Here is a 13,539-nt window from a genome sequence, read left to right as displayed (position 1 = left end):
ACCAGAGAGAAGCTAATGGTTGTGTTGGCCTAAGAAGGCAGGAGAAGGACTCACAGTCTCCTTACCTCACCAAGGTGTCACTGCCGGCCCCTCCTGGGCTGTAATAGAGCACGTTCTCCAAGGACAGGGAGAACTTCAGCCCCTCTGCCTCTGAGATGTATAAATTGGTGCGGTTGTTACTGTGGCTGACACACACAAACACCTGGTCCTCGGAGGCATCTGCGATGTAATATTCCTTTGGAATCAAAAGTCAAAAAAGATACGTCAAAAAACAAATGTGCCCTGTGGGCTTTTACTATACACACGGAAGCAATGACTTTCAAATGTTCTAGCGATGAATGTTGGCCTAAAGCCCACGGGAAGCTCCCTAACCTTGGCAAAGAAGCTTTGGCGACTTTCCCTTTGGAGAACCTGAGGCAGATCTGCAGCTTAGCGGGCCCCTTACTGGCAAATGGGGCACAAAATAATGGGCCACTGCACTGCACAAATGACCTACAAACCTCTTTCCGTTAATAATGTCTCCCTCATTTTCCCATGAGAACTTTCATTCGTACAAAGTACAATACGGGTTAATGCACTTCCCTTTATTTTTCCTAAGGTGACCAAAGGAAAGCAGAATCCATAGAAACTAGCAAAGGACTGGCATGACTGTTCTCCGTATGATCCCACTCATTTGGTGGAAGGTAAGTAAGTGAGCTACTTACCTTTCACCAAACCACCTGCCAATGTCAAGACGTTTCACTGTGACCGTCTCCCTGTGGCAGCTCCTCTAATGACCCATCCCATGCAGACTTTTCCTATCCATCTTCATGTTATAAAGCTGCATATTTAAGCATTTGCTTATGTCTGGTTTCTTCTGCTACTCAGTTTTTAGTCTCTCCAGCCTGTTTCTAAAAGGTGGGACCCAAATCCTATCCTCTGCTGGAATTCATCCCCTGCAAGCAATCCAGCAGTTACTTAATAAAAAAAGATCCTATCATGCACAAACTTCCCATTGCTTCAGTACTGGCACGTTGCTCAGATGGCACTGACTCTGGCTCGAACCTCTCTCTGCCAGTGCTGCTCCACTTAAAGCAAACTAAGTCTCTCGTTCAGCTCTGCTTCAGTGAAGTGGGAACCACAGACCACGATGCCCAAAGCATAGCTGCACTCTCTAGAGACCTGACTTCAGGGAGGCGCCATAAAATATCCACTCCAGCAGGCCATCCCTGCAACAACCTTCCTCTGACCTCTGCATAAAGACAATGATACTTCTTCCCATCCTCAAGCAGACCCCACTCACATTAATAGGATGTCTTGTGACAAACTGGGCTGCTCTCATGGGCTTCCGGCCAAAGGAGACCCAGAGCTGGACAGAAGACTGCTGTTCACTGCCCAAGAGATGCTGCCAAGGAAGAGGAGAAAAAAAAATTAATGGTGCCACATTACAGTCATTCAAAAGCAGCAAAAATAAAAATAGAAGAGTCAGATTCTTCCAGTTCTACTGGAAACACAAAATAGAGACTGTGATTGCAAATTCATGTTTTTGCAATGTCTGCCATCACTGGGCAGTTTGGGTTGTACTGCTTCATCTTAGATACCCGGTTTGCAACAGACACTAGACACTCCATGGATATTAGATAAGGAAATGGTATGATGGTAGAACTTGGACTAGAGGAGGTTTTTGGAGGCTGCCAACACTTCAACAGAGTAAGAGATAGAAAGAGGATTGTGTGATGAGGCTGAAGAAACACGCAGGGAGGAGCCTACGGCCCCCAAACCACTAAAGGGTGAGATCAGCCACACACCATGCACACAAAACATGTTCTTTTCTTCTTTCTACTCCTATTTTTAGATTACAAGGATGCTCCAGTCACAAGGTTTTAATTTGCACCAAGACTTGAGAGAATCTTCATTGATTCTGGTTTTCCATCTCTGAATAATCTCATTGAGGAAGGTCTTTTGCTAGAATACATATTCATTGGTAGAGTATTCAACATGATGTTGACCACATCACATTGCATTTTAGAGATTTTTAAGTCACAGCAAGAATCTTGGAAATGTGTATAAAAGCATAGATTAAGAGCTAGCTCTACCAACTGAGAAAATGATAGAAATCTCTCTAGCTTTCAGTTTATTCATATACAAAAGGAGAAGCTTATTTGGATCAAGACTTCCCTGTAGATGGGTTTAAATGGTCCAGCAACCCTGTAAACATATATGCAAATTTTTTTATATACACTCATTTATTTTGCTATGGAGGCTCCGTACGTTTTATCAGATTCTCAAGAAAGTCCACCACTCAAAAAAGGATAAGAACTATTATAAAAACTCTGTGTGGTTTCTTCCAGCTCTAAAAGAACATGGCCAGAAGCTGAAGGCAAATGTTGCATATCTATCAGGAAAGACACAGGGAGGCATACCCTCATGTGGACATAATCATACAAATGACTATTAAACATATTGAGATGTTGGGATTCCCAGCCAGAGGGGTTACTTTGGCTTCACTTATCCTTGACTAGGTTGCTGTTTATTATAGATATTAACTTCCTATAGAGTAAGGAACATATCCATTTATTTTATCTGCAATATAACGATTCAGTACCCTGTGCTCAAACATGCCCCATAAATACTGTGAGGACCCAGCTGATAAAGACAAAGTTACTTTTAATCCATTTGAGCAGCAGACATTCAAATCACCACTGAACAAATGGTTAAAAGTAGTTTGTTTTAAAGAAATCAGGCAGAGAGGTACGAAAGACTGCCCACCAAAATGGAAACCTGAAAACCATATTAATAGCTTGTACTAAACATAGGGCCGTAGGAAATGATGGATCTATTAAAAATGTAAAAGCATATTAACTGAATAAGAAAACAGTTCCCAGCAAAATTGTTACATATAAATTCCAAAAGCCTTCATTAAGTTGATAAAATGTCATGGCTATGTCAGATGATTAGTTTAAGTCAGCCTATACACATACATTTTTGTGAATATATAGAGGAACATATCAATGAAATATACATTTTTATGCTTTGTTTTTTACGACTTCCAACTGTGAGTATAACTTTAAAAAGAGTGATTTCTCAATGACACCCAGGCCCATCATTAGTTAAAAATACTTAACGATTGCTGCTGGGAGGCCTGAGTATTAAGAATATATTTCACAGGTCAGTCTTACCTCATAAATGCAAAAATCACAGAATACTACAATCATCAAAAAAAAAATCTCAAAATGCATCGATCCCACTACCTTCTTGGAGAATTATTCCTAAACCTGGACAATTCAGGTTCATTCTTAATGGATTTTTAAAGAGTTACTGTATTGTTTTACTTCCACCAAGAAATATATTAACAATTAAACTATGGCACACTAGTGATTATAAGATGTATTGTAAGGCTCTGAGATTTTTCTTAATAAACCATAGGTTTTGGGTTGGTTTGTTTTTTATCACTATTATTAAAAAGCAAAGCATACTCATGGAAAATATCCAACAGCACAGATGGGTATAAGGTAAATGCAGAAGCTCTGCTCTGATCTCCACATCCCTCCTCCCACTCTACCCTGCAGAGTGCCCAGTGGCTAACAGCTCTTGTGCATCCTTTCAGAAATGTACTGTGCCACCACATGCAAGCATATGTACATAGTGACAGACACTGCTACACCTACCCCCAACACCCATTATCCCTTTCCTCCTGAGCAGTGGGACTCTGACACCACCCAGAATAAATGACTGCACTTCTCTACCATTTTTGCACCTATGGGAAGTCACGTGACTAAGTACTAGTCAATGAGATAAAAACAGAAGTTTCGTGCTGGATTTCTGAGAAGGCTGCCTAAACAGACAGAATTGGTGGGAAGAGGTCCTACTTGCTGTCTTTCCTTATTCTTCTTAACTGCAATAAGGACTTGAAGGCTAGTATGGATGTCTTGAACCATGAGGTAATCTTGAGAATGGAAATCACTAGTCAGGATGGCAGAACATTAAGACAGAAACCTGGATCCCCAAGAACATCAGGACACCAACATACCAGCCCAAGACAGCCTACCTCCAGGCAGCAAGGGGGAGAAAACTAAACTCCTGACTTGGTTAAGCAATTTTTATTTCTAGTCTATTACCAGCAACCTAATATAGTTCTAAACTGACAGAGGCAATTTAATTTTTCACATATAATTTGGATCATGATATAAATGCTGTTGTATTACTTAACTTTTTCCATTAACAGTGTATCTTACTGTCCCACAATTTAAAATTTTATCATTGGCAATGTATCTTAGACATCTTTCCACTTAACAGCTATTGGTGGGCACTTTAGTTATTTCCAGAAACATTCTTAAACACACACACATATAAATAAGCATGTATTTATTACTTTTTCAGAACTGCACAATACCATTGGTAGGATGCAGTCTTAGAAGAATTATTAAGTCAAAATTTGTATTTTTGATAGCTATCATGAAATAGCCCTCCTGAAAGGTTGTACCAACTAATACATCCACAAATGCACAAACTTCATCAACTAGTAGAAATGATTTAAATATTTGAATCTAATTCAATCTTATAGAGTCTGAGAATTTATAAGAAGATTTTTTTTAATTTTGTGTTTTCATTTCTGATAACTAAAAATAAATTCTGCTGGGTGCAGTGGCTCATACCTGTAATCCCAGCACTTTGGGAGGCCGAGGTGGGCAGATCACGAGGTCAAGAGATCAAGATCATCCTGGCCGACATGGTGAAACCCCGTCTCTACTAAAAATAGAAAAATTAGCTAGGCATGGTAGAGTATGCCTGTAATCCCAGCTACTCGGGAGGCTGAGACAGGAGAATCACCTGAACCCAGGAGGCGGAGGTTGCGGTGAGCCGAGATCATGCCGCTGCACTCCAGCCTGGCAACAGAGCAAGACTCCATCTCAGAAAAAAAATAAATAATTAAATAAATAAATTCATCTAGGTATCTGAATAACCTGAATTTCCATTTATATTTGAGATTGTGTCAAGAGCAAAAAGAAACGGAGGATCAAGGAGAAAAGAGGAGTAAAGGAACTAAATAAAGGACATTCTTATCAAGTAAAGGCCAAAGGATACTGCAATGAGCTATCCCACTGAAAGTTGCATGGCAGCTCAGCTAGAGAAAATGGGTAAAGAACTAAGCCCTCCCAAGGCATGGGGAAGCACAGGGCCACTAGTTCAGAAGCACCAGAGCCATGGGTCACATCCTCCCTTGGAGCAGCAACAAAGGTTCAGCAAAACATCCTCATCCACCTTAATGTTGTTTACAAAAAAAAAAAAAAAATCATAAATGAAACATAGCTAAAATCTGACATCTGGGATATTCCAGGGGGAAAAAAAAGTAGTGAGTAGATAGCTAAGGAGAGGTTGGCAAATGTAGGTAAGTAATATTGAAGTTGGTGAGGGCACGTGGGGAGGTCATATCAGCATTAACTGTTCTTTCGTGTAGGTTGGAAAATGCCTATAATAAAGTTTACAAAGTTAATATTAATTGGAAGCATTTCTAGGAACTCTAAAAATATACTTATCCATAAAAGCAAGAAAAACACTGACAAAAATCCTCAAAATCAACTTTTTCAGAATTCTGCAAATGAAATAAAGGGTTGCAAAAATCCAAGGCACATTTACTCAAGAACAATGGCTGAATCTTGGCAAAAATAGCCAGCTTTGTGATGTTTTCATTTGCCCTAATCCCATCCCCCTCTCTCTAGCTCTGTGGTAGCCTTGGAAACCCACAGCCTCACATCTACAATAGCTGTGAAAAACAGCAGCCTGGCAGCCACTGGAGAGGACAGAATAGGTCTGGAGTTCCCAAAAAGCCTGACCTGTCTGGGGGCTCACAGGAAGGCTGCATTATCAGCTCTTGTCTTTACATAGCCTGACTTGGTTCATGATATAGACAGCCTTATAGCCAGCCAAGGCATTTACTGAAAATAGTGAATAAAAATTAGCAAAGGCTTATCACTGTAACTTCTGAAGACAGTATTACCAATTGGGAATTAAAAAGAGGCTAACTAAAAAGCTTAAAAGGAAAAAATGGGGAAGAAGATGCCCTTAGGAGGCTTTAATAAGCTCTAGATGAGTATTCCTGGGACTCTACAAGGTCAAGCACATAAGAGCCGTGAGTATGCTCAAGAAAGAAATGAACGGGGTCTAGTCTCTTACCTCCAGCTAATCTTGAAGCTCTACATAAGCAGGAAGTGAAGGCTAGGACAGAGTTGTAAACTGCCTGCAAAAGCATTGAAGGTATACCCTAACACACACCCAGAGGCCATTAGCAAAGGCTGAGAGACTTAGTGGTTCAAAGAGTTTAAGAAAATCTCTGTCTTATCATTAGCTGACCAATAAGCTAAATTACGAGACAATTCAGTAGCAAAAACAATAAAGAACACAAACTTGATAGCAGTACAGGAAACTCCCTGAACAACAATAACAACAACAACAAAAACAGCAACAACAAACAGCAACAACACAAAACCCTGAGGAAGGGGTGTCAGTGGTTTGGAGGTACCACACCATTTAAAATGTCCAGTTTTCAACAAAAAAAATCACAGGACAAGCAAAGAAACAACAAAGTATAGCCTATACACAAACAAAAAGAGTAGTCAGTAGAAATTGTCCTTAAAAGCTCAGACATTAGACTAAGTAAAAAAAAAAATTAAATAAGCTATTATAAATATGTTCAAAGGACTAAAAGAAATCATGTATAAAGTATGAAAGGACAGTATGAGAACAATGCCTCATCAAATAGAGAATATCAATAAAGAAATAGAAATATTTTTTAAAAACAAGCAAATAGAAATTTGGGAGTTGAAAAGTATAATAAAAGAAAAATTTAGTAGAGGGGTTCAACAGAAGATTTGAACCAGGAAAATAAAAAAGCAGTGAACTTTAAGACATGTCAATTGTGATGTCTCAGTCTGACAACAAAAAAAAGAATGTTAAAAATAAACAGCCTAAAAGACCCAGGAAACACCATCAAGTGTCCTGACATACACATTACCAAAGTCACTGACGAGATGAGAGAATAAAGGAGAAAGAATATTTGAAGAAATAATGACCCAAAACTCCCCAAATTTGATAAAAAACATAAATCCAGTCAGCTCAATGAATTCCTAAAAGGATAAACTCAGAGACCCATACCCAGACACACCACAGTAAAACTGCTGAAAGCCAAAGATAAAGAACCTTGGAAAGCAGCAAAGAAAAATGACTCATCTAAGGAGTCCTCAATTAGACTAAAACTGTGCTGATGGGCTTAAAGAGTATAAAGATGAAACAATAATAGCACAAAAGCAGGGACACAATAAAGCTATATAATGACAAAGATTTTGTACACTACTGAAGTTACATTGTTATTAATCCAAATTAGATTTCATAAATTAAGATATTTATTGTAATCCCCAAAGCACAGATTAAGAAAACACCTGGGAAAAATTTAGTGAAAGAAGGTACAAGGGAATTTAAATGTCACCCTAGAAAATCTGTATTTAATACAAAAAAAGGCAGTAATGAAGTAATAAAGGATCCAAAAAAAATTTATCAGGAATATAGAAAGCAAAGAGCAAAATAGCAGATATGTAGTCTACCTTTCAGTAATTACATTAAATGTAAGTAAATTAAACATCCTAATCAAAAGGCAGAAATTAAAAGAATGCATAAAAGACCTGACACAACCATATGCTATTTACAAGGATTCAAAGATACAAATAGATTGAAACTACAAGGATGAAAAAGTGATATGCCATGTGATATGGTTTGGCTGTGTCCCCACCCAAATCTCATCTTGAATTCCCACATGTCATGGGAGGGACCAGGTGGGAGGTAACTGAACCATGGGGGCAGGTCTTTTCCATGATAGTGTTATCACTGTTCTCCTGATAGTGAATAAGTCTCATGAGATCTGATGGTTTTAAAAAGGAGGAGTTTCCCTGCATGAGCTCTCTTTGCCTGCTGCCATCCATGTAAGACATGACTTGCTCCTGCTTGCCTTCCACCATGATTGTGAGGCTTCCCAGCCACATGGAACTGTAAGTCCATTATAAACCTTTTTTGTAAATTGCCCAGTGTTGGGTATGTCTTTATCAGCAGCATGAAAACGGACTAATACACCATGTTTACTGTACCCAGAAGAAAAGAATAGCTATAATAATAGGCAAAATAGAATTTAAGACAAAAAATAGTTACTAGAGACAAGGAAGGACATTTAATAATGATAAAAGTGTCAATCTAGAAGAATTAACAATCATAAACATATATGCACCTAACAACAGAACTCCAAAGCACATGAGGGAAAACTGACAGAATTGAAGGGAGAAATAAATAATCAAGATGATAATACTTAAAGATTTCAACAGTTGAAGATTTTCCCACCTTCAATATAGAACAAGGCAGAAAAGGAAAAAGATAAACTGAACATCACCATCAGCCAAGTAGATTTAATAAACACTTATAGAACATAATACCCAATAACAGCAGAATACACATTCTTCTCAAAGCACATGTTTCATTCCACATGTTCAGCCACATTCTCAAGGATAACAGATGTTAAGTATTAAAATAGGCCCCAATACATTTAAAAAGAACTGAAACCATATAAAGTACATTCTGTGATCATAATAGAATAAAATGAGAAACCAAAAAGTGAAGGAAATTCACAAATATATTGAAATTAAACAACACATTCAAAAATCATCAATGAAGTCAAAAGGAATCACAAGAATCATTAGAAAATACTTTAAGATGAATGAAAATGAAAACATAAGCATATGAAATGCAGCTAAAGCAGTGATTAGAGGAAAATGTATACCTGTAATCACTTATATAAAAAAAGAAGAAAAATATCAAATCAATAACCTGACTATCCACCTTAAGAACATAGAAACATAAGGGCAAACTAAGCCCAAAGCAAGCAGAATGAAAGAAATATAAAGATTACAGTAGGAATAAATGAAATAGAGAAGAGAAAAATAATAAAGAAAATTACTCAAACAATATATTGATTCTTTGAAAAGATTAACAACATTTAATAAACTAGACTACAAGCTAGACTTACCAAGAAAAAAAGAGAAGACTCAAATTACTAAAATTAGGAAAGAAATAAGAAACATCATTAACAACCTCACAGAAATAAAAAAAAGATTAGTGTGAACACTATGAATAATTAAAAATTAAATAACCTAGAATAAATGAACAAATTACTAGAAAGATACAAACTGCTGAAACTGAACCAAAGAGAAATTTTAAAAACTGAAAAGATTGAATTAGTATCCAGAAAACTTCCCACAAAGATGGTAAATTCTGCCAAACAAATTAAAGGATAAAAATGATTATAAACCAAGAGCATGTGGGATTCATTCCAAAAATGTGCATTGGTTTAACATATGAGAAAGATCCATCAGTGTAATATTCAATGTTAATAGACTAAAGGAGGAAAAAAAAGAAACATATGATCATTGCAACTGACACAGAAAAAGCACTGACAAAATCCCAGATTTTTTCATGATAAAAACACTCAACAACCCATGAATAGAAGGGAACCTTCCTCAAATTGATAAAGGACATCTAGAAAAACCTCACAGTTAAAAATCATACTTAATAAGACTGAATGCATTTCCCCTAAGATCAGGAATAAGACAAGGATGCCTACTCTCTCCACTCCTAGTCAACATTTTACTAGAGGTTCTACCCAAGGCAGTTGGGCAAAAAAATAAATAAATAAAAGGCCTCCAGACTGAAAAGGAAGAATTAAAGGATGATGTTGTCTCTTTTAGCAGACAACATCATCTTGTAAACAGAAAATCCTAAGGAATCCACACACCAAAAAAGTTAGAACTAATAAAGTTCAGCAAGGTTGTAGAATATAAGATCAATAATACAAAAATCAATCATGTTCTATATATTAGCAATGAACAATCTGAAAATGAAATTTAGAAAAGAACCATTTACAATGGAGCCAAAAAGAATACTTAGGAAATTTTTTTTTTTGAGACAGAGTCTCGCTCTGTCGCCCAGGCTGGAGTGCAGTGGCACGATCTCAGCTCACTGCAATCTCCACCTCCCAGGTTCAAGAGATTCTTCGGCCTCAGTCTCCCGAGTAGCTAGGACTACAGGTGCGCTCCACCACGCCCAGCTAATTTTTGTATTTTTAGTAGAGACGGGGTTTCGCCATATTGGCCAGGCTGGTCTCGAACTCCTGGCCTCGTGATCCGCCCACCTCAGCCTCCCAAAGTGCTGATATTACAGGCGTGAGCCACCGCGCCCAGCCAGGAAAAAAATTTTAACTAAAGAAGTCCGGGACTTGTACACTGAAAACCAGAAAACCCAGTTGAAAGAAATTAAAGAAAACCTAAATAAATGGAAGAATATCCTTTGTCCATGCATTGGAAGGCATGATATATTAAGATGATAACACTCTCCAAATTGTGTTGAATCTGTAGATCAATCTCTATCAAAATCCTATCTGTGGTTTTTGTTTTGTTTTGGCAAAAAATTGACAAGCTGATCTTAAAATACACATGGAAATGCAAGGAACCCAGAATAGCCAATACAATCTTGAAAAAGAACAAAGTTGGAGAGTTCAAATTTTCCAAATTCAAAACTTATTAGAGAACTACAGTAATCAAGACAGTGTGATGCTGGCATAGGGGTAGATATACAGATTAATGGAATAGAATTAAGAGTCCAGAAACAGGCCAGGTGCAGTGGCCTGGGCAACATAGTGAGACCCTGTCTCTTCAAAAACTTAGCCAGGCACAGTGGTGAATGCCTGCAGTTGCAGCTACTCAGGAGGCTGGGGCAGGAGGACCTTTAAGCCTGGGAGTTCAAAGCTGCAGTGAGCCATGACCATGCCACTATATTCCAGCCTAGGTGACAGCAAAACTGTCTCAAAAAAAAAGAGAGAAGGAGTCCAGAAATAAATTCTCATATTTATGAGAAAATAATTTCCAACCAAGGTGCCAAGGAAAAAGTATAGCCTTTTCAACAAATGGTGGTGGGACAACTGGTTATCCACATGCAAAAGAATGAAGGTAAATAACTATTTCACACTAGATACAAAAATTAATTGAAAATGAATCATAGACTGTAAGAACTAAAACTACATAACTCTTAAAGGAAAGGGAAGTATATATTCATGACCTCAGATTAGGCAATAGTTTCTTGGATATAACAACAGCACAGGCAGCAAAAAAAAATGGATAAACTGAACTTCATCAAAATTAAAAACACGGCTGGGCATGGTGGCTCGTGCCTACAATCCCAACACTTTGGGAGGCCAAGGTGGGAGGACTGCTTGAGCCCAGGAGTTTGAGACCAGCCTGGGCAACATGATGAAACCCCGTCTCTACAAAAAATAAAAAAATTAACAGGTATGGTGGCACATGCCTGTGGTCCCAGCTACTTGGGAGGCTGAGATAGGAGGATTGCTTGAGCACACGAAGATCACGGCTGCAGTGAGCCACAATCGCTCCGCTGTACTCCAGCCTGGGTGACAGAGGAAGACCCCCAACTCAAAAAAATAAAATAAAAATAAAAACTTCAGTGCTGAAAAAGAAAAAAGTAAAAAGATAAACCACGGAATGGCAGAAAAGATTTGCAAATCATATAACTTGTATATAAAGAATATATAGAATAAAGAACTATTATAACTCAACAATAAAAAAGAACCCAATTTAAAAACGGACAAAGGACTTGAATAGACATCCATCCAAGAAAGACATACAAATGGCCAACAGCCACGTGAAAAGATGTTCAACATCCTTAGCCATCAGGAATTCAAATGAAAACCATAAGATACCACTTCACACTTAACTGGGATGGCTATCATCCAAAAAACAGTAGCAAATGTTGACAAGGATATGGGAAAACTACACCCTAATACATTTCTGGTGGGAATATAAAATGGTACAATAGTTTTGGAAAACCACTTGACCGATTCTCGAAAAGTTAAACATAGAATTGTCGGCCGGGCATGGTGGCTCACGCCTGTAATCCCAGCACTTTGGGAGTCCGAGGTGGGTGGATCACGAGGTTAAGAGATCGAGACCATCCTGGCTAACACAGTGAAACCCTGTCTCTACTAAAAAATACAAAAAATTAGCCAGGTGTGGCGGCGGGCACCTGTAGTCCCAGCTACTCGGGAGGCTGAGACAGGAGAATGGCATGAACCCAGGAGGCGGAGCTTGCAGTGAGCCGAGATCACACCACTGCACTCCAGCCTGAGCGACAGAGTGAGACTCCATCTCAAAAAAAAAAAAAAAAAAAAAAAAAAAAAGAATTGTCACATGACCCAGTAGTTACACTCCCAGGTATAAACTAACAGAATTAAAACATAAGTTCACACACAAACGTGCACACGAACATTCACAGCAGCACTGTTTGTAACAGTAAAACAGTAGACACAAGCCAAATGGCCACCAACTAATAGATGGATAAATAAAATGTGTTATATTCATTACAATACTAGTCAGCCATTAAAAATGGTTAAAGTAATGATACATGCTACAACATAAATGAAACTTGAAAACATTATACTGTGAAAGAAACCAGTCACAAAAGGTCACTGATATGGTTTGGCTGTGTCCCCACCCAAATCTCATCTTGAATTGTAGCTCCCATAATCCCCACATGTCATGGGAGGGACCTGGTGGGAGGTAACTGAATCATGGGGGCGGGTTTTCCTGTGCTGTTCTCATGATAATGAATAAGTCTCACAAAATCTGATGGTTTTATAAAGGGCAGTTCCCCTGCACACACTCTCTTGCCTGCCGCCACGTAAGCCATGCCTTTGCTCCTCCTTCACCTTCCGCCTTGATTGTGAGGCCTCTCCAGCCATGTGGAACTGTGAGTCTATTAAACCTCTTTTTCTTTATAAATAACCCAGTGTCGGGCATTTCATCATAGCAGTATGAAAATGGACTAATAAAGTCACAAATTGTATGATTTCCATTACACAAATTGCCCAAAATTGAAAAAGCCATAAAGATACTAGGTTAGTGGTTACCAGCATCAGGGAGGAGAAGGAAGTAATGGTAATGGGTATGTGGTTTCTTTCTGAGGTGATAAAAATATTTGGAATTAGGTAATGATGATCATTGTATAACCTTATGAATAAACTAAAAACCACTAAATTGCACACTTAAAAAGGGTAAATTTTGCAGAATGTGAATTGTATCTCAACACAGTTGTAACAAATATTAATTTTAAATGTATTGTTATAGTTTTATTTTTAATCTGTAAATATCTGGGTTTTATTGATCACGTATGAGAGTTATAAGCATTGGGTGCTTATACATTTAAGTAACATAGTTAAAATAATTTATAAGTAGTTTGGTTTGGGTCAGTTATCCTATAATTCACAACACAGTTTTGTCAGCTGATTTCTCATCTAGAAGCCCACAACACCCTGTAGCAGTTACTAAACTGTTCTGTTACCTCTGATCAACATTAGAGAGCAAATTAGCTTAAGGTTGAAAATTGGTTTTCAATAGTGAAATTCGTGGTTGCTTAGTCAGAATCATGAAAATACACATGGACCCTCACTTGGGAGAC

General features: G+C 38.1%; 1 protein-coding gene across 1 annotated transcript in view; it reads right to left on the bottom strand.

The window, feature by feature from the left end:
• SORL1 (sortilin related receptor 1) overlaps positions 1-13,539 on the bottom strand; it is a 181,450-nt gene that overhangs the window by 119,377 nt on the left and 48,534 nt on the right. The window contains exons 7-8 of the mRNA NM_003105.6: positions 1,283-1,384; positions 66-235 (exon numbers count right to left, since the gene is read on the bottom strand). Coding sequence (NP_003096.2) covers positions 66-235; positions 1,283-1,384 — 272 coding nt within the window. The remainder of the gene's footprint in view (positions 1-65; positions 236-1,282; positions 1,385-13,539) is intronic.

Source organism: Homo sapiens, chromosome 11 (assembly GCF_000001405.40).
Source record: "Homo sapiens chromosome 11, GRCh38.p14 Primary Assembly".
NCBI classification, from domain to species: domain Eukaryota; kingdom Metazoa; phylum Chordata; class Mammalia; order Primates; family Hominidae; genus Homo; species Homo sapiens.
The sequence above is the reverse complement of the archived record's forward strand: the minus strand, read 5'-3'. Positions and strand labels throughout refer to the sequence as shown.